A 22,698-nucleotide genomic window follows, 5' to 3' on the forward strand; every position below is an offset into this window, starting at 1 on the left:
CATCATGGAAAAAATAAAATCATCCAAATTAAATATTTTGGTGTGGTGACTTACAAATTACTAAAATAGTTTATAATCAATGTTTGGCCCCATATTCCTGGGAAAACAATTAATGCTTCAGGTACATTTGGTCATCTAGTGGGTCATTTAAATATTTTATAAAGGGATTTCATTCAATTGTTATTTTCAATGCATGTTTTCTGTTTGTATAAAAGCTTTCCCATGCAAGAGGCCTGATGTTATAACAGTAGATTATTATGCTACAGTGTATTTTCACCAGGTAAAGAAAGCTTGTTATGGTTTGGATCTTTTGGGAATGTTGGAGAAAGACTGTCCTTACCATCCACACTACAAGAAAACCTCGGGACCTTGAACTTTGGGTTCATAGTCTCATATCTGAGAAGGGTCCTTCCACACTCTTGGAACTGTACACCCACACCCATTGCAACCCTTAGAATAAAACTAACCAGGGAGGTTTCTCCCCAGAGGAGGATGGCATCCTTGATGTTAACAGCTTTTCCCAAGTTCACAGATTAAGACTTCTATCCTGAAACTCTTATCTTTGAATATTTTCCCTTGATTATGCCTCTGTGAGCAATAGAAGTGGAAAAGGGGTCTGTGATGTGCACTTATGGGTATACTTTTGTGAAGGAGTTTACAGCCAGCCTTATGCATGGATAACCTTATACTTTGATTAATAAAAAATAAAAGCCCATTGTAGGTAAGAAACTTTAATGGTACATATGTTGCTTCATCATCAGTCAGAAACAAAACATTGGTTCACTCCTCTTAACCCACTTCATGGGTTAAAGAGAACACTGTCAGGAGGCCATCAGTCTTCTAGAAGGGCATCCTTTGTTAGGTCCTTTTTCCATGGTTTAAAGTAAAAGAAGCAATGATTAGAAATATATCCCTCATGATAGGATCTATGATAAATTCTACTGTAAAAGATACAACAAATTTTAAATTCCTTTGTGAAAGTCATAATGGAATTGGCTGAACAGAGAAGTATCTTTGCAGCTGCTGACACTCATGGCCTATGGAGAAAACATTGGGTATTATAGGAATTCAGTTGTGGCGGATTAACGAATAAACAGCTTAGTTAAGTAAATAGATTCTTTATCTAGCTCATCCTTTGAGCTATTTGATTTTAGGAGGTTTGGTTTATGGGAACCTTGGGTAAGGAGCATACTCTGAACTCTTGGTATTATTCTTCCAGTAGTCATAATCATAGTCCCCTGGTGTGCTGTATTCTCTCAAAGGTTTTAAATGCTTGCATGCAACCATCTCTAGAACGTCATGTGGTCTCTCTTTGACTGGAATAATAGGAGCTGAGAGAAATATGCAACCATGTGGACACCATAACCTATAAATGACCTGCTGAGACCAGAAACCCAAAATGATGGTAACTGAGAGTGGTAATAAGGCCCTAAGTTTTGGTCACACTCTCACCTAAGTGAGAACCTGAGCAAAAAGGTAGAGTTTTTTAAACAAAATTCTGGGAGGCCACTGCATTGAACTAAGCTCATAAACTAGGCCCAAACAGACCAAACCAAACTAAAACCAAAATGTGCTAAGACTTTAAGGAAACACAGGCTCTTGAACAGGTTTTGGTTTTGTCTCCTGCAAATCTCTATAACAAACATTCCTGACAGCATTGGTATTTACCCCCTAAAGTGCTCATTAAATCTTTCAACCAAATTCATTTCCTCTCACCTAGAGACCATCAAGCTTCAGATAATCATGCAAAAAAGGTTCCAGCCAATTCCAGGTGAAGACACTGCCTCTGGCCATCAAGAAGCTACCCTGCCTCCACTAGACAGAGCAGGGTAAGAGTTCCATGGTCCCCAGTTGGTAAAACTATGCCCCAAACCAGCATGAAGCATTTACAGAGAAAAGTCCATTGGTCCCTCTGCCTCCCATAAAGATTTACAGGGATCACATCTCTCAGTGGGGAAATGAGGCAGGAAAGTAGGGTCCGGAGGCAGGGAACATAAGGCCAATTCACACTTCAGCTATGACAGGAAACATCCTCTCCATAGGGCGTACGCTGAGTAAATGACTTTGTAATTTAACTTCATCCTCTTCCTTTACATAGGGTATACACCAAGTAACCAATGGGATCCTTTAGAGGGTATTTATCTCCCAAAAGTTCTGTAATGGGGCCCTTGAGCCCCTGTGCTCAGGCCCACTCCCACACTGTGGAGTGTACTTTCATTTTCAATAAATTTCTTAATTATTTCCTTGCTTTGTTTGTGCATTTTGTCCAATTCTTTGTTCAAGATGCCGAGAACCTGGACACCCTCAACCAATAACCACATCACTCCAGCTCTCCAGCCCTTTTTCTCAGGGAGATGTTTTCAATATCCCCTTTATCCCAATAGTTTTCAATAGTCTTTTTTGTCTGTTTAACTTTTATAAAGTAAAATTTTTACTTTAGCAACCGCTTATATTCCTTGCATTCTTCCAGAGAGTTGTACTTCCCCTGATTTGCTTTTATGCTCAGAAAGGGCTAGCTTGCTTTCATCAGGTATAGGGAAATTTCTTAAGCAGTGTTGCTTAAAACAAATATAGATGTCCTTACAGAGAGGGTGTGACAAATTGGTTTGGGCTAGTCAGCTACAGAAGAGGCACATTATTTTAAGGGAGTCAAAATTTGTCTTAGAATAAGCAATTCTTAAATGACAGTCTCATTTTCATTCATACCGTATGCTATCTTCTCGTTCAAGATGCCGACAGGTTCTGTTTGAGGAATTGTATAAACAGGTGTGCCTGACAGTTAATAAGGCTGTATCCACAAGCTGCATGTACTGCTTATTTCTTTATGGGCACAGCTTCATAGTCATTGGCGTCCTAGTGACCCATGTTGCAAGACGCATCCTTCCTTCTTAAATAATACTGCATTATCTACCCAGGCAGTTGGAGACTGACTGCTTCATTAGCAAGTCAATGTGCTTCCACCCTTCCTACTGATGCTATGATGTTTCTATCAATGCACATTATTCTCTTATTGGAACTGACATTTGCTGCTTAAATGTTCTAAACTATAATATTACCAGTTAAGTCAACAAGTATCCTTAGAAAGCATGTACATTTGAAAATGTATGTATTTTTATTCATCTTTTCCTTCTTAAAGAACTCCAAATTTGCAAATCAAGCATACCAAAGAGCAAACTTTCTAAATGATTTAATTATTCCATCTGCTTTGAAGAAACAGAAAGAGACAATGCCTCAGATAATCGACATTCAGTTATTTAGAAATACACAGGCTGGATTCATCACTTTGAATTGTTCTTCACATCTAATAATTTTTAATGTAAAATTGTTGTATTTTATTTGGTCTTCATGCTTTTAAGCTTCTTCAAAAGTGTGACTTAATTACATCAGAAAAACTATTATAAGAAAGGTTAACTATTTTCAGATTTTAAGGAAAATTAATATTTTCTCTTACTTTTTATGGTATTTTCTCTTTTTAAGTGTTCTTTCTCTGTTTAACTTATGTCTGCCACTTAACTTCTCAATAGTGATCAGATTATTACATTCACTCATAAGGCAGCCAGATACACTTAAAGTATTAAAAATTAACATTCTAATGTAATTATTTTAAAACAATGTTTTTCTTTCTGATGTTTTGTGATAAATTTTCAGTAGCTGGGTAAATTTAAAAGATGGTTAGTAATACCTTGTCTAGCTATTTGTAAGGTCCAAACGAATTAACAAGTCTTCATTCTGGACACTCATATAAAGAAAGGATGTCTATATGTGGTCAACTGATCTTTGTCAGGAGTGCCAAGAACACACAATGTAAAAAAGATAGTTTTTTCAACAAATGGTGTTGAAAAAACTGCATAGTCATATGCAATAAAATAAAACTCTAATCTTATACAATACCAAAAAAGTTATCCTAAATGAATTAAAGATCTGACACTGTGAAACTCATAAAAGAAAACATAAGGGCCGGGTGTGGTGGCTCACGCCTCCAATCCCATCACTTTGGGAGGCCAAGGTGGGCAGATCACGAGTTCAGGAGCTTGAGACCATCCTGGCTAACACAGTGAAACTCCGTCTCTACTAAAAATACAAAAAAAATTAGCCGGGCGTGGTGGTGGGAGCCTGTAGACCCAGCTACTCGGGAGGCTGAGGCAGGAGAAAGGTGTGAACCCAGGAGGCGGAGCTTGCAATGAGCAGAGATCGTGCCACTACACTCCAGCCTGGGCGACAAAGCGAGACTCTGTCTGAAAAAAAAAAAAAAAAAAAACATAAGAAGAAAGCTTCTTTACATATGGCTTTAGGAATTTCTTGGATATGACACCAAAAGCATAGGCAACAAAAGCCAAAGTTGACAACTGAGACTACATCAAACTAAAAACCTTCTACACACAAATGAAACAACCAACAGAATTAAAAGGCAACTACAAAACGGGGGAAAATATTTGCAAACCATATATCTGATAAGGAGTTAATTTCCAAAATATACATACACTATAAGAAACTACTACAAATTAATAGCACAAACAACAAACAAACAAACCAAAACATCCACAAAATGATGGGCAAAAGATGTGAACAGACATTTCTATTTATAAAAAAATTGCAAACCAATTTTTGCAATTTTATAATTGCAATTTTTTGCAATTTTTATAAAAAAATTGCAAACCAGGTCATATACCTGACCAACAGGTATATGAAAAGATGTTCAATGTTATTAATTACCAAGACAGAGCTAGGACCTTCTGTGAGGGGCCTGACAAGTCCCCTCATGCATGGAAATAAAGGAAAATCTTCTGTGTTTCTTCAAGAGAAATTACAGGTGCCTACCTATCCCTGAGAAGTAGATAAGCAACTTGATAAGCAAGAAGGGCAGTAGTAGCCTAAAATAATAGCCAAGGAAGCTGGAATCATGGGATGTTTTGTTCCCCTTGAAACTGAAGATAGAATCTCTGAGTTGTTTTTCAGAAACAGACCTTCACCAAACAGATCTGCTGGTAGGCAAACCTCACATAAGGAGAAACTGAGACTGAATTATGACCACCATACTTTTTTTCTAATTTTCCTGAGGTGCTTGAAGAAAGTCACACCCATGAGCCGGGGCTAACATTCTTTTCTGCTGAACCCAAAATTTTAAACAAAGCTATTCTTCCTTAACCAATTGCAAATCAGAAAATCCTTGAAACTACCTATGACCTACTTGTTAAGTCCTTGGTTCAAGATATCCTATACTTTTAGGCCAAAATCATTTTGTTTCTGTTTAAACAATTCCCTTTAGGAATTTCTGAAAGGTAGGCCTGATGGCGCTTGACTTCTTTAGCTTTTGTTTGTCTAGGAAGTTTCTGTTTCTCTGTTATTTCTAAAGGACATTGCTGAGTAAACTATTCTTTGATGGAAGTATTTTTTCTGAACTACTTGGAATATAATATCTCATTCTCTTCTAGCCTGTAGGGTTTCTGCTGAGAAATATGATGAAATCTGTATTGAGGCTCCCTTGAATGTAATATGTTTCTTATATCTTGCTGCTTTCAGTATTTTTTTCTTATCTTTGATTTTTGATAATTTGATCATAATTTGTCTCCTCTTCAGGTTGAATTTAATTGGCAACCTGAATGCTTCCTATACCTAGATGTTGCTGTTTTTTCCAGACATTGAAAATTTTCTGCTATTATTTCTTCAGGCTTTCTACATCTTTCCCCTCCTCTTCTTTCTTTAATCCCTATTATGCAAAAGTTAGTTCATTTCATATTGTTTCATAATTCCCATAAGCTTTCTGTATTCTTTTTCATTTGCTTTTTCCTCCTCTGAATAATTTTCAATATGCTATCTTCAAGCACAATTATTCTTTCTTTTGCTTGGTTAAGTCTGCTGTTGAAACCTCCTATTACATTTTTCAGTTCTGTTATTTATTCTTATCTCTAAAATGTCTACTTTTTTTATTGTTTTGATTTTTTTGTCAATATTCTCATTTTGCTCATAAATTGTTTTTCTTTTTTTTTTTTTTTTGGAAATTTCATGGAGTTTCCAGAACTTCCTTAAGAGGATAATTCTGTATTCTTTGATAGCCATTTCATAGATCTGCATTTCCTCTAAGTCCATTTTTGGAGCTTCATTAGTTTCTTTTAGTGGTGTCCTATTTTCCTAGAATTTCATAATTTTAGTACCCTTACAGTTGTGTCTGAACACTTCAGGAGATGGCCACATTTTCCAGCCCTTGCAGGTGATCTTTGGTAGTGATAGACCTTTACTATTTAGTCTAGCCCAGGATTCTGAGTGGGCTGGCTAGTAGGAGCCACAAACAGGCAGTTCTTGGTACCAGGTTCTATAGCTGGGATAGATAACTTCCTATGCACTGCAGTCATATGGTACTGCTGGCTGTGCTCCATTGTCCAATGAGACCACTGGTTAAACTCTGTCATCAGGTTGAGCTTCTGGCTGAGCTCTGAAATTGTCTCTGATAAGGCAGAATTGCAGAGTTGTCTTCCCTGGCTGAACAATACTGTTGTAGGGTAGGGCCATGTGCTGAGCTCTGAGTCTGGGAGAAGTCTCTGGAGTTGCTGCTTAGTCACATGATAAGGGCAGGGGCAGAGCTTATGCTTGACATATATGCATGAAGTTGGGCTTGCTTCAAGGATGAGGGTAGGCTTAAGCAGAGCACTGAGGTTTGGTGGAGTGGCTGCTCAGATACTAGGGTTAGATGGGTAATTGTGGACTTAGAGTTGCCTCCTAGCCTGGGGAAAACTTAAAGAGGACACCAGGGCTATGACAGGAAGCTGGCTAGGGAATTGAGCCAGGTAGACTTGTGGACCGTGCTTTCTGCAGTACAGTGCTATTAGCTAATCTCTCAGGTATGACACCTCTGTTTTTCAGAATGCAAAGGAAGAGCAAAGATCTGCCTTCTAGTTGTTGTGAGCCCCACCTACGTTGTTTGTCTATAACAGACCCAGGTGGTCTAGCTCTTCTGGTTCTTTCAGCGTTTCCCATGAGATGAGACAGGAGTGAGCCTCCTGTGAAGAGTCCTAGAAAACTGGAGAAGCGGAATGACTATCTCCAACTAACTTTTGCCACTGTAGAAACTGTAGGTACAGGAAAATCCTCTGTGTGTGCTGCTACTGTTACTCTTTGCCTTCAAATGTAGCTTTTTTCAGTTCTGTAGTCTAAGAACTCCAAGTCCACGTGAGGGTCTTAGCCTCATTCTCAAGTTCTGGGATATTCACAAAGGTATTTTCGCCTGTGTATAGTTACCAGTTGGATTTCTATGGAAGGGAGTAGGACTGGAGGAGACTCCTATTTTGCCATCTTGCTAATGTCATTTCTGTTATGTTTTGATGTTACTAATGAGCATTCTTTCATTTCACTTGAACAATTTTTTTTTAAGACAGGTCTACTGGGGATAATTTTTTTCTTCCTGATATCATTAAATTTTTTTCTTCCTGAAATTATCTTTCAATTCTCGTTCCTCAGTGATCCTTAATGTTCATTTATGTGCTTTTTTCCTGGTATTGTCCTTTTAAAGTCTGGTAATACAAGAATGTTTGTTAATTTATTTGGAACAAAAAACAAATCAATTGATTAACTTTGCAGAAATGTATTTCCTGTGCTTTTATCAGCTTTTCCCATGCAAGAAAGAAGTAGTTGTCTTAAATTGGCAGAGAGAAATAATTGATGTTTACTTTTAGGATATGGCTAAGAAACTGGCAAACAAATTGTTATTCACTCAATGCAGAAAAGAGAAAGGCTTATTCTAGGGAAACTCAGTCTTAAAAGTCAACCCCGGTCTTTCTGACAAGCTACCAATTCCAAAAATTTTATTCTCCAATTTGAAGGAAAATTATTGCCTACTCTACTAACAATTAATTTGATGACTGTTTTATAAGTTTAATGCTTCACTAATTCAACATATTTTTATTGACTTTCTTGTATGTATATTTATTGACCAGCACTATGCTAGTACTTCTGAAAATATATTATTGAAGAAATCGTACATAAACTGAAGCTTCACAGTGCTTAAGTTGGATGAGGCTCAAAAAAGTAAATAAGTCATAGCAATAAAATGTAGTAAGTTATTCAGGAGATAAAGTACAAAATACTATAGAAGCAACAGGAAGGGCATCTGCTTCCAATATGGGGAATAAGGTTGTAGAAAGCTGAGATAAGATAATCAGTTATTGACAGGACAAAGTGGGTGGGTTGAGAGAGGAATATTAGTATTTAACAGAAAAGAAACCACATACACTTATAAGGAACTTACCATAGTTAAGTACAGATGGTAAGAATAAAATCAGAAAGCAGTGTGGGGAAAAGCTAGACTTAGTGATTAAAAGGTGAGAATATAATAACAGTGAATTCAAGGTATTAATTGATGAGTTAGTGATGGGAAGGAAAGAAACTCATTGGAATTAGATAATATCTCAAAGTAAACAAATTATCCTAGGCCTCTGTAAGCCTCTTTATTCTGATTGATGAGCTACACATTCTGGACTTAGAAGTTACATACACATTAAAAGTTAAACACTTATCGAAATGTAATGGGGAATCACATTGTGTATTCCCTAAAAAGAGAAAGAAAAAGTGTCTAGGGATATCATATTATTTAGTCAATTGAATTAGAGACGCTAAAAGTCAATTTCTGCTGTATAAGCAGACATGTTTTACTGATGGCAGCAGCGGCCCATCTGGAGTGGCTGCTACAAAGACACCGCAGCTGGGAAGGCACAGCCGTGGCTGTGCACTCTACACAGCCAGCGAAAGCCAGGAACAGTTGGAATCCCCACCCCTTCTGAGTCGGTGAGGTGAGAGCCCCGTGCTCCCGTATGCAACTGCAGCTCCCTAGCTGTGGCTGTGGACCTGGGCATCCCTGTACTCTCAGGGGCCCAGGAAGCCCCCTCCTCCTACAGACGTGGAAGTGGCTGCTCCCACTGCCTGGCCTCTCTCTGCTCCTGGTGCCCACTCTGATTTTGGAGCAAAGTTGAGGCCAAGCCTGGACGCTGTTGAGACCTGGCTGGGTGTGCATGCGCTTGGGACAGCACTGACATGCCAGTCCCCTGCCTCCTCATCCCCCTCCAGACTTTGGCCATCAACGAGCATTGGACGGTGTCTCAGCACAGGCCTGCAGGTGCCCCTCAGCATGAACAGCCTGAACACCATGGTCACTATGGATGGCAAGTTGATGGAGACAGGAGGCACAGGCTCCTGGGCAAAAAGAGAGTGGTACCCAGTGAAGCCCCACCTTCAGGCCAGGAACAGCCTGAAGCAATGGGCTGCCTGTTCCATGGTCCAGAGTGAGAACTTACGCTGCCTTTCCTGGGCCTTCCCATGGCTGCCCATGAACCAATCAGCATGCACTTTCTCCCCTCTGAAGCCCATTAAAAACTGACTTAGCCAGACTCAGGCAGATGATGGGACAACCTGCCCACAGAGAGGAGCTACCCACTGTGGGTCTGGGTCTCCTCTCTACTCAGAGCTGTACAGTCATCAGGACAACCTGCCTGCATATGGGAGCTACCCATTCCAGATCTCTTTTCTGCTGAGGGCTGCACAGACTTTGGAATAACCTATCTGCAGACAGCAGCAACCCACTCCGGATCTTCTCTTTACTGAGGGCTGCACAGATGCTCACAGATGGGACCCAAAATCATTTTGGGTCTCCTCTCCACTGAGGGCTGCACAAATGCTCAGACAGCCTTCCTGTGGAAAGGAGCCACCCACTTCGGGTCTCCTGAGAGCTGTTCTGTTGCTCAATGAAGCTCCTTTTCACCTTGCTCACCCTCCAGTTGTCCATGTACCTCATTATTCCTGGACATGGGACAAGAACTCAGGCCTGCCAGATAGCAGGAGTGAAAGAGCCGTAAGCCAAACGGGGCTGAAACTCCCCCCAACCACCACCACCAAATTGCCATGTTACAGGCAATGAGAAGGGGAGAAGAGCTGCATCCCTTTGGTTAGCCCAGACCTAGGAGTTCCCTGAACCAGGGCTGTGACATCCTCTTTGGGGCTCTGTGATTCCTGGCATCTCCAAATCTCCAAGCTTCTGGGTGCCACCACCTTCCCCGACACCTGTGGTGGAAGCCATTTGTGGTATGCCTGGTCCAGGGACAGCCTTACAGGGAGCCAGCGCCTGGGCTGGTGCCTAGAACTGCCCTCCCTACTGCAGCTGGCATACCTGGCTATGCACAGTGGCCAGACCTGGCACTTGCTTTCTTACACCCCTTGCTGCTCCATGCCTAGCATGTCCTTGGCAGGTGTGGGATCTGGACCAGTAGCATGAGCTGAGTGCAGCCTGCTAGGCTGAGTGGGTGGAACAAGACCAGCAGGTCCAACCAAAACTTGATCAAAAGTGCCACCAGCCAGAGGTTTCCAACTGATTAAATGACAGCCAAAAGATTCTTTGACCTTAGGAGAGAGCCACACAGATTAGGTAGCAGACCTTTTTGCCAAAGTGCTTTTTTTCTAGATGAAGAAATTTTGGGAAAAACTCAGAGAAAGATGGATGGAAGTCAATCAAAAATTTTGCTTGTCAAGCCCGAAAATGCTACCATGTACTGTGAGAGAATAAAATATTTTATTATTCACTGAAGAAGGATTTCTGAAGAGGGCAAGAAAATCTCTCAACAGGTCTATAAACGGCTTGAGATAAAAAAGAAAGGATAATTGAAGCTGGCTTTTATTTTGGGGTGAGTCTAGAATCTGGGCTTTCCTCCCACATTCCCCTATAAATTTCATGGTTTAAGCTTTCTGCTTGTGCCAAAGGAAAGAGTGTCCAGGCTCTCTTATGCCCAGAAGTAAACAGCTGTGGGGCAGGAGATGGGAGAGTGGTGAGGCTTAAAAAGTGTCCACAGTCAAAATCAAAATAAATCCAAAGTCTGTGTTCTGAAGAGCAATCTTTCTAAAGCTTCAAATGTGAAGGAATGCTAACTATAGTTTCATGCTGATGTGTGATACTAAAATACATTTAAAAATTACAGAAATTTTGACCTTGAATACTTCAACCATTTTCTGGTGGAAAAGAAGCCTTTCTTATTAGGAGCCACATTACATGTAATCAACCTAATCGAAATGCATACAACTATTAACCTTTTAGATAAATTCATTGTAGCTGAAAGAAAAAGCTGTCTGCTCAGACTAGCAACCTGAGCTCTCCTCAGAATATAACATTTGCTAAAGTTGTTTGAAACCAGAAAGATAACCATTTCAAAACAAAAGATTGGCTCTGGATTGTAGGTTTCTTATTTGCAGGACTAGGTCAAATTTAGGACCATGATTAGAAAGGGAAGTGCTTAGCAATGAAATAAACCATTACAACAGTTGAAATACAATGGTAAAAAAGCCAAAGGTGCAGTCATGGTATAGAAGTTAATGGAAAATTTACTTGACCAAGCTTTGAAAAATCAAGGCAGTTTTGTTTCGAAAACTCCAAAAGGACCAATGAAAATATTTTTGGAGAAGCCATCATGACTTGATGTAATTATCATAACAGCTGATTCTTGATAATGTCATCTTTCATGAACTCACAACTAAAAACTTATAATATTTGATGGTATTCCTCCTTATGGAGATAGGCAAATAATCTTAGAGAAACGAAAAAAATCTGTTGCCAATATGATCACTAGAGCTTTTATATAGGGATACAAAGGCTTTTACATCATCTGAGAGAAGGGACCTGCAAGTATTGATATTCTTCAATAGGCCATATTGCTTTAAATTTTCCTGAAATTGCCGTTCTTATCCAGACAGAAAACATCAAAGAGACAGAGTTAACACCATTCTGGAAAATTTTGTTGAGTGTAAACATTTATCTCCCATCTGATTTTTAAAAATATAGCTTTTGTTTCAGAATCTTCAAGTTAAATGAGTTTATAATAACTGAATTATTCCATAAAGAGAGAGGAAGGAGTGTTAATTCAGACCAACTACTTATGGGTATGCGTGTTTGGAGATGGTTAATGATTCAAAAACACTTTCATTTCTAAAGAGACAGAGATATTTGGAATTTAGAGCATCAGCCATACTTAAAAGAGGAGGTAAGACTCAAGATATCTTGTTTTGGTTAAGAGCATTAAACAAACAAAAAATGTCTGCTTAGCACAGACATTATTTGGAAAGCAGAAAAAAATCAACATACTTTATTATGGATTTAATGATAAAAAAACACTTTGAAAATCAACCATAGCTTTTACAATTATAAGTCAAAATCATACCATTTTCAAAAACTATAATAGACAAATTAAGTTTCTGAATTTCAATTGGCTAATAAGGACTTGATATTTATGTTTACTTTCTTAAGCTAGCAGTTTTTATTAAATTTCATGGTACTATTTTACATGAAAAGCATTACTTTTAGTGGATTTGTTATGTTAGGCCTGTGGAACCATGAGTCAAAATGTTATGCCTAAGGTCCTAAGCCTGTGTTCCATGTTTAATGCTACCACTTGCTAGCTGTATTGGTTCTTTCTCACACTGCTATAAAGAGCTACCTGAGACTGGGTAATTTATGAAAAAAGAGGTTTAATTGACTCATGGTTCCACAGGCTTTACAAGAATCATGACTTGGAGGCCTCAGGAAACTTACAATCATGGTAGAAGGTGAAGGGGAAGCCAGCATGTCTTACCATGGAGGAGCAGGAGAGACAGAGAGAGCAAAGGGGGAAGTGCTACACATTGTCAAACAACCAGATCTGGTGAGAACTTACTCGCTATTATGAGAACAGCAAGGGAGAAGTCTGCGCACATGATTCAATCACCTCCTACCAGGCTCCTCCCCCAACATGGGAGGATTACAATTGGAGATGAGATTCAGGTGGGGACACAGAGCCCCCATATCACTGGCTATATGAAATTGCCAGGTTAATCTCTATGCATCAGTTTCTTCATCAGTAAAATGGGTATGATATATACTTACCTCATATTGCTACCATAGCAGCTAAATGTTCCCTGAACGTGAAATATAAGCAAAGTGCCTATTACCCATTAACATTAAATATTAGCTATTTAAAAAATGTTATTTTTTCTTTGTTAACATTGGAAAGGCTCTTTTAAAAAAATTTATTCTTAACTTCTGTGCATATATAGTAGGTGTATATATTTATGAAGTATATGAGCTATTTTGTTATAGGCATAAAATGGGTAATAATTCCATCAGGATAAATGGGGTATCCATCCCCTCAAGCACTTATCCTTTGTGTTACAAAAAATTCAATTATATTCTTTTAGCTATTTTTAAATGTACAATTCAATTATTATTGAATATAGTCATGTTGTTGTCCTTTAAAATGCTAAATCTTATTCATTCTTTCTTAATATTTTTGATACCAATTAGCCATCTCCCCCACAACCCGCACTGCCCTTCTCAATTTCTGGTGACTGTCATTCTAACTTCTATCTCTCTGAGTTCAATTGTTTTGATTTTTAAATCCCACAAATAAGTGAGAACATGTGAAGTTTGTTTTTCTGTGCCTAGCTTATTTCAGTTAACATAATGACCTCCAGTTCTATCCATGTTGTTGCAAATGACAGAACTCATTCTTTTTTATAGCTGAATAATATTTCATTGTGTATATGGAGCACATTTTCTTTATCCATTCATCTTTTGATGGATACTTGAGTTGCTTCTAAATCTTGGCTATTGTGCATAATGTTGCAGTAAACATGGGGGTACAAATATCTCTTCAAAACACTGATTTGTTTTGGGTAAGTACCCAGCAGTGGGATTGCTGGATCATAGGGTAGCTCTATTTTTAGTTTTTTGAGGAACCTCTAAACTTTTCACCATAATGGTTGTACTGCCTTACATTCCCATCAACAGTGTAAAATGGTTCCCTTTTCTCCATATCCTTGCCAGCATTTATTATTGCCTTTTTTTAATAAAAGTCATCAAAATACTGACTTTTAAAAATCGTAACATTTATCTTCATTGTTTCCCATGCTTCAAATAAATGTACTGAGCTTTGTGTAGTATTTTTGTCTGTTTATTTATATTTTTAAGCTCATGAATACTTCCCAAGAAAGTTGATTGTGTCATATAGAATTCAAAAGAAAGATACGAACTCCCTATTTGATAAAAATATAATGATAAAAGAAAAGCAATATAATCTGGCAAAATGGCAGATTTTTTTCTGCCTAAAAACTTTGACACATGGAAAGTATTTAAAATAGGTGATTATCATTATCATCTGATCATAATTATTCATAATTTTACTTATTATTATATAACTAATGTTTAGCTACTTGCCATGTTGCAGTCTTATACGGGCATACTAAAGTCTATAATTATGTTTGATTCTTTCATTTTCTCCTTTACTTTGACAATTATTATGTACATGCATTGATACTAAATTCCTTATTCAGAAAGTGACTTAACTACCAAATTTTCATGCTAAAACTTAATATTAACAAAAAAATTCCCTGTATGTTCAAATAATATTTAACTTAATTTGCTGCTCCTTGTATATGCTAATGGTGCCATTCCTGCAGTTTTTAAGGCAGGAATCGCATAGTATATATTTCATCATCCTTTAATTTCCAATTTTAGAATTTTAACACTTTCGTATGTACTTTCATAATTCATATGTTAATAATTGTTAATTATTCATTTCTTTCATGTACCTTGAACACACTATATTATTCTTCATTATTTTTCTTTCTCGATTTTTAATTTGTTAATATAATCTGGAAGTTGAAAACCATATTATGTTTCCCATAAATATATTTTGTATTGTGTTTTATGGTATTTTTTAAATTTCCATGTTGAAATGTATTATTTATAATTAGATTAAAACAGCTATTTTTATAGGCACGGCTTGTCTTGTCCATACGTTAGTGTGTTTTTAGTACAAACTCACCATTTGTGTGATTGTTCCTAACACATAAAAAAAACTGTCATATAGAATTGTTGAAAGAAAACTTATTATTTGAAATGTTCTATTGCTAGTACTGTTGTCTTAGGTCATTTATTGATGGAAAAGTAAAGTTGAAAGATAACATGATCTTTGTTCAGTTATAGATTATTTGATATTTCTCTGACTGTGTTGGGCGAAGTGGCTGAGCACCAGGGATGCATTCTTTTTCTTTGTGTTTGACCTCAGTTTTATTCTATGAAAAAAGTGCAGCTGTGTCTGGTACATTCCCTGGTACTATAACTTTCCATTCATTGAAAAGCTTCTAGAAAAGTCCATTAACCTGGTTTTCTGTTGGTTTTCCCACCTTTCTCCTTAGGTCTTCCAACACACTGTTGGGTGACTGTAATGAATCTGTAGTACCAAAGGCAGTTTCAAATGACCTATTTCCTGATTGACTTTTTGTCTACCATGGACTTTTTGCAGCAGGAGAATATTTAGATTTCTGGCAAACACCTTTTTATCCTTTGTCACAACCCCTCATGTCACTAAAATTTCAGCACAGCTATAGTATAAAGTTTTGAACATTATGCCCCACATTCCAGCTCAGGCACCCTCTACAGAGTCTCTAAATTCTGTCTCAGGTTTTTCTCTAAAGCTTAAGGGAAGACATTGAGACATCAAAACACAACATTCACACTCATGGGGGAAAATTATCAACAAATAGTAAAGGAGGTTGAAAGATAAATGCCCAGCTTCTAATACCTTGTAGAGATGATTTTTATGGTCATTCTGGAAGGTTTTCTTACATTTTGGGTTTTCTTCCTTCTATGTCTCACTAATGTCATTTTTTCTTTCCATTCTATGGGATTTACTCCCAAATACATTGCTAGTTCTCAGGTTTAAGTGTCAGGCACTGCTTTTGAAAGAACAGAAATTAAAACATGTCCTTCCAGTTTTTTATTTTAATCTCTGCAATGTCATGCTATGTTCTTGCAGAAGAGAGTTTTGAGTTAGGCTTTATTGTCTTCCTTCATTATGGTACTGAATGTACTCTACCTAGCAGAAATTCACTGATGTTTCTGTCATGCAATGGAAATGAAGGCACATTTTAAAAAATCATTCTTACTTTCAATGTGGTCATATTCAATATAAAAATATAAATGGTGGAAAATTCTGCTTCCACCCAAGATGGAGTAACAGATACATATTTACCCACCTTCCTTAAATAACCAAAAAGCTGAAAAAAGATAAAGAGCAATGTTTTCAGATATTTGATAGCAGGCAGTGTCGAGTAATGATCCTTGAGGCAAAGAAGTATGAAAGTCCTATGATTGTCCCTAGCTTAATGCCTGGAGAGAGGGTTGACTGGGCAGAACCAGTAGAATTTGAGCTGGGGAGATGGAGTTGGAGGTTAAAGGAGGCCAAAATAACTGCAATTCATAAGGCAGAGTAAAAAAAGGAGAGACTTGCACAGAGAGAGGGACCACCACAGATCTTCAAAGTGTCCTTTCCAGCAGAGTGATTATCAGCACATGGATGTGAAGAAACTAACTGAGATGGGGCAATAATGTAAGGAGGAGAAATAAATGAAATAATATTAGAAAGAAAAAAATAAGACTGACACTATTTAAAAGTGACATGATTGTCTACACAGAGAATCTCTATGAACCTACAAACAATATATGAGTACAAGGAAACACAACTAATAAGTGAATTTAGGAAAGTTGGAGGATACAAGGTCAATATACAAAAATCAATTGTATTTTTAAATACTAGCAATGAACAATCAGAAATTAAAACTTTAAAAATAAAACTATTTGCAATAGCACCAGGAAACACGAAATGCTGGGTATACATCAAAGAAATGTATGCATGAACTGTATGTTGACAACTACAAAACACTGATGAAATAAAACAAAGCAGACCTAAAGAAATAGAAAGATGGCTGGGTGCGGTGGCTCACACCTGTAATCCCAGCATTTTGGGAGGCCCAGGAGGGCGGATCAACTGAGGTCAGGAGTTCGAGGCCAGCCTGGCCAACATGCAGAAATCCCATCTCTACTAAAAGTACAAAAATTAGCTGGGCATGGTGGTGGGCACCTGTAATCCCAGCTACTCAGGAGGCTGAGGCAGGAGAATCACTTGAACCTGGGAGGCGGAGGTTGCAGTGAGCGGAGATCATGCCACTGCCTTTCAGCCTCCGCGACAAGAGTGAGACTCTGTCTAAAAAAAGAAATAGAAAGATATGTCATACTATGGATTGGAAGACTCACTCACTGTACAAATATGTAAATTTTTCAAAAAATGTTATATGTTGTCAGTGAAACGCAAAAGAAATAACAGCATAATTTTAGTATAAATTAAGAATTTGATTCTATGATTTACATGAAAAGCAACTAAATTAAATTAGTCAAAACAATTTTGAAAGAGAAAAACAAGGTTGAAAAGCTCACACTATAAATTCATAGTTAAGACAGCATGGTATGAGTAAAAAGATAGGCATATTAATAAATGGAACGGACTAGAGAGTCCAAAATAGAACCGGACATATAAGGGCAATTAATAAACTATGAAAGTGAAAAGAAAACTCAATGGAAAGAGATTTTTTTTTTCAACTAATTGTTTGGGCGCAACTAGAATTCCACATTAAAAAGTGCCCTAGACATTATCCATTGTGTCACTATTATTCAATTTAACATGGTATACTTTCACAACTTTCTAAGCTTTGTTATAAGAATAGATGTAGATTTCTCATTTTAATTATTTTATCAATAATTTTTAATATCAAAAGATGTATTATAATGTAAGGATCAGCATAGACAGTTATACATTACCAGTGGAGACAGACCAAGCTTACAAAGTCAATTTGGTGAAATTAATGGCACTGCACTGATATCCAAAATGTCCTTATGCCTTTTCTCATTACACCCCTACTTAAACTGTTCCTTTCTGGAATTCAGCCAGTGCAATTTGTTCCAACTGTTCAAATTGTGGAGAAGTAAATCTTATAAATTATTACAAACAAACTTCTTCCTTTTACTTACTACACCTCATCTCTCCTACAGGAAATAGTACCAACAGAGGTCATTGTCATTAGAAATAATTATGTTGCACTCCACTTGCTGTTATCAGATTCTTCTAATTTATTCCCAAGAGAGAACAAGCATTTTTTTTCATTATTATCTTTACAGGAAATATTGCAATTTCATATATTATTCAATCATTTTATTCTGTATGTGGCTATTTAAGCACATATATTTCAAATAGTAGAGTTTCAATCTAACTATTAAGTTAGAGTTTCATTATAGAGTTCCAGCCTATCTTTATTATTTGAAAATATATGTGTTTAAATGGCCACATATAGAATAATAAACTCATTTAAGTGTTTGAGCCATATTATCTTAGGTGAGACATGGTGAGGCCAGAAGCAGTTGAAGAGAGAGAGAGTTTTGCAGTTTTATCAAGCTCAGTTCCCTGGAAAAACACAGCACACCAGGCAGGACAGGGTAACTCAGGATGCACCACGGTCCACCAGAAGGCAGAAGGAGAAAGAGGAACTGTGGGCAAATGCCTTCATTATGTGTCTCTCAAGAAGGAATGGGCCAGGAAAAGAAGGAGTTTAGGATTGGCAAGCTATGTGTGAAAGAGTCTACCCTGCAAAATTCATGTTCACTGTGACTGTTGAGCATATGATTTGGGACTATCTAAGTCTCTGGATGCGTTTAGGTGAGCCAGAGTTTACTTGGGAACATGCAGTGAATATTTTGTAGATGTTAAAACATTGATTTACAGAAATGAAAAGTATGTTTATTACATGAAGCCCAGGAGATAATAGGAAAAAAACTAAAATAATATTTGGATGATTATTATTTATATACTCTACTTTAGCAAGTTCAATAGCAAGTTTCATTTCTACATTTTCAGCTGCTTGCCTTTTGATTTGCTTAATAATCTTCATATTATAATGTTGATGCTATAGGATTGACAACATTCATGAATAAAACTCTATGTATTTTTGTGTTCATGTTTTAAAATTAACATCTGCATGCAAAGAAAAGTCTCTGAGTAGATAATATTAAGATATACAATGTTTAAGATGATCATGTCTGGGGGAAAAAACATCATAATAGAGCTCATCACAATACATGCATGCTGACTGATGTCTTAAAAATCAATAATTTAATTATATCAGAATCTTTTAAAAGTGAACAAAGATGCCACACCAATCTGGCTTATAGCTTTTTAAATTAAATATTAAACACTCGAACTTAATCTTCATAAATGAAATCTTAAATCTTATTCAGCATAATAATAAGAGTGAAAGGTAATAGCATATAATATGAACAATATCTATATTGACTAATATATATAAATAAATATATGATTACAACCTTTATCATGCAATGTAAAATATCAAAAAATTTTATGCACAGTTTTTAAGAGTGAGTTTGAGAAGAAACAGAGCTATAATAATTGTTAATTATTTAGACCTATCCAGGAACTTAATTAACTCTACATTTTATGTTCTATGGTTTTGTTTTTTAGTATATAATAGGCAGTTAGTCCAAATTTTTAGAAAAGCTGAATAAAATATGATTAAAAAAGAAGAAAGCCAAAGAAAGACAAAGTTAACGTCTGTATAGCCCTTTCTCCTCCCTCCCTATTTCTATGCAAATAAACTCCAGCTACCTTAACAGGTCACCTTTAAGCCTGGCAGAAACAGAGGAGGCCTCCTGCATCCTCCCTTCCTTACTTTCCACAATATCCACATTACTAGCTCATCACTCCCCATCCTTTTTGACACACAGTGTTTCTATCACAGGCACTTTTATCTAAACCGCACATTATAAGACTATTTGCCCAAGAAATTGTGTCCACAGGCTTGATGTCACTTCATTTCTTTAACTCAAAGCACCTTTAAAAATGAAGTATATTACCCTGGAAGTGGTAACCTCTTTAAGTCCAATTCCAGTCATAAGATTCATAAGGAACAAGATCTGTGATGGCACATATGATAGACAATATTCAAGAGGGTTAAAGATGGGGTAAAAGAAGAATTGGAGATAAGGGATAGAAAAAATTGGAAGAAAGTACAATGTCACCTTGGGGGTAATTTACAAGGTAAGAACAAGAAACTTGGGTAAATAGAATTGAGAAAAGAAACTTCACATTCCTTAGAATTTCTCATATATCTGGTCTCTGTGACTGGATCAAAAGTTTCCCTAAGTTTATACTGACAGTGCACAATGGCAAGTCCATTTCCGATAACAGGAAATAACCTCTCAAATTTATACAATCATGGGATCCAGAAACAGTGCTGTCCTAGCATTCAGAGTCAGAATCATTAAGGCAAATAAAATAAAATGCCAAACTGAACTGACACCAAACAGTATCCTAGCCACTCTGCATATAAGGATTATGCAGTATTTGGTGAGAGAGAAACCCACACTGGACTCCAGAACTGTATTATAATTTTACCTGAATTCTTCTTGCAGTATACTGTGTTAAAGGCTAATGTTAATTATACTGAACTTGACTTTCATAGAGAACACAAAAATGGAGAGGGTGGTTGGACAAGCAGCTGAGATCTAAATAAATAACACAGTGAGGGAACTGAAGGCAACATTCTGGTGATAAATGAAGTGACTATTGACATTTGAATAGGATAAAAGGTATTACATAAGATAAATCAAAAAGGAGACTTCCAATTCAAAACTGGAGAAGAGTTTGGGAGCAACACCTTGGCTGTGGAGTGGTGGTGTGATCCGCAGGCTAACAGCAGGGCCAGCAGGATATGACTCATGTAACAGTAGAAGCATTTGGGGTTTTTCCTACAGCAACAGGCACTCACAGACAAGAGAATTTTCCATATGTCCAGGCATCATATATATTTTTAAAGTACATGGAAAGAATGCCTAAAAGTTTGTATTATCGTGAATGGGAATACAATTTGCAATTGTATACCTTTCATTGTGTTATAAATTATTTTGTTCTTTTACTGTACTTGTTTACTATAATGTGTTATAAATTATTTTGTTCCTTTACTATACTTGTTTACTGTAACATTGTGTTATAAATTATTTTGTTCTTTTACTATACTTTTGTACTTTTACTATACTCTGTTCTACTAAAACTAGAAAAATTATATTTTGGAGAAAGAACAAAATTAAGTTCATTATAATAAATGTGTACCAGTGCAAAATTTGCAAGAACATAAAATTGCGAATAAGGTGTTCTTTTTCAGCTGGGCAACTGGAAATACAGCTAATACATCTTCCTCTCACAGGACTGCTGAGCTCAATGCATTTGAACTTCCTTCTTTTCACCTCAGATTAATCCCAGAGTTCTCAAGCAGATGCTCACATGTTCTTCTAAGCCAGGCTGTTACCTACACACGTTCTCATTTCTGCATATTTGCAGGCAACAAAACTCCCTAGAGAAGGTTCACTTCTGCTGGAATCCATCATAAGATTCCCCATTCCCAGACATAAGTGTTCAAAATACTAGGACAACAGAGATTGTGTGGAGAGGCAGAAGCTGTCTTCCCACGGTTATGATACTCATTGTCACCAAGATCCTCATAAGAAGATTCATTCTGGCCCAGAGTCATTGGAAGTGCCTCATGAACAACAATTCAATCAGATTTTGCCTCCAAATCGATGAGAACTCCACAAGGAATGAAAAACATTTCAGAGAATAAATGTAAACGCATGCTATTCTACTCCTTTCCTTCCTCTGAAGGGTAGCACACCTGAACTAAAATATTTCTGACAATATAAGACAATCTTTAAGTAATTTATGAATTTATTAAGTATTTCTATAATACTAATAACTATGGTAGAACAGCATGCAAATAAAAAGAAAGCCAAAGTCTAAACATAAAAAAAAATCAAATTCCAACTGTGGTTAAACCAATATAATTTTGAATAGTCTGAATTGGAATTCCTAGCCTGTATGCCTTAAGCTACAAGTCACTCTTATTTCGTGTACTTTAAAACCATTTCCCTCCCTATGGCTCTCTGTAGCTTTTGCTAAGTAAAACTTTATCTCATTTGGGATCTTATCCTCTCTCTTCTTTGCAGAAGCTTCTGCCCACACACATTTTTGGCATTTCCGACCTTAGAAATGGGCCAGGAATTTCTCAAGTAGTTAATGTGAGATCAGGAAAGAACAAGATGTGCTTCAAACACAGCCCAAATAACACAAGTACACAGTCAATACACACACACATGCGCGCGCACACACAAACACATACACACATGCATCCCACTCCACAAAATATTGGTTTTATCATTTTAAGTGCCTTATATGGCATATATACTGCAGTCTTTCACTAATCTGTTCAAAGGACAGGTGAGTAGGGATATATGTTTGTTTTCTATGAATCTATATAGAAGAAAAAAATAAACAGATTAAATGAGAAAAGAAAACTCTAAGACAGACCTATACTCTTAGCAGCTGGGCAAGTGTTGAGGTTAGTTTTGTTCCCACAAGAGATACGTTTGAGGAGTGCAAGTTTTTAATCCAGGAGAATTGCATTTACAAAGTGACCAGTGAAGCATACATTAATCTCTCTCTCAAAGTTGAGGATAAACACTCTGAGAGGTTAAATACTTGCTCAAATTTAAACCAATGAAAACCACTACCACATGCAAGTCTCTGAACTTAAACTTAGTCTTTTAAGAACCAATCTTCATCTTGTGCACTAAAATGCAGCACCTTTACTGCTTAAGTTGTTTAAAGTCTTTTTAGGTCAATTTTTCCCTAGATAAAATGTAAAGAAATGAAATCTTCTCTGATCCTTGAATGTGTAGCTGGTTATGCTACCAATGGGTTTGCTTATAGGGATTAAATTTGTAGTTTTTTAATCTCTTAG

The 22,698-nt window shown here is 36.9% G+C and overlaps 3 annotated features.

Moving 5' to 3' along the window:
• Positions 8,424-8,924: an enhancer, noted in NCBI's record as "H3K4me1 hESC enhancer chr13:91055460-91055960 (GRCh37/hg19 assembly coordinates)". NCBI's record gives its function as "activates a minimal SCP1, AML or CMV promoter by ChIP-STARR-seq in naive H9 embryonic stem cells {active_cell/tissue: H9 hESC(naive)}" and the evidence as "EXISTENCE:reporter gene assay evidence [ECO:0000049][PMID:30033119]".
• Positions 20,418-21,617: an enhancer, noted in NCBI's record as "BRD4-independent group 4 enhancer chr13:91067454-91068653 (GRCh37/hg19 assembly coordinates)". NCBI's record gives its function as "activates an origin of replication core promoter dependent on BRD2, P300/CBP, MED14 and CDK7 cofactors, and independent of BRD4, by STARR-seq in HCT116 cells {active_cell/tissue: HCT116}" and the evidence as "EXISTENCE:reporter gene assay evidence [ECO:0000049][PMID:35650434]".
• Positions 20,453-20,747: an enhancer, noted in NCBI's record as "tiled region #14763; HepG2 Activating non-DNase unmatched - State 24:Quies, and K562 Activating non-DNase unmatched - State 10:DNaseD". NCBI's record gives its function as "activates a minimal TATA promoter and a strong SV40 promoter by Sharpr-MPRA in HepG2 and K562 cells {active_cell/tissue: HepG2 | K562}" and the evidence as "EXISTENCE:reporter gene assay evidence [ECO:0000049][PMID:27701403]".

This window comes from Homo sapiens, chromosome 13 (genome assembly GCF_000001405.40).
Source record: "Homo sapiens chromosome 13, GRCh38.p14 Primary Assembly".
NCBI lineage: Eukaryota > Metazoa > Chordata > Mammalia > Primates > Hominidae > Homo > Homo sapiens.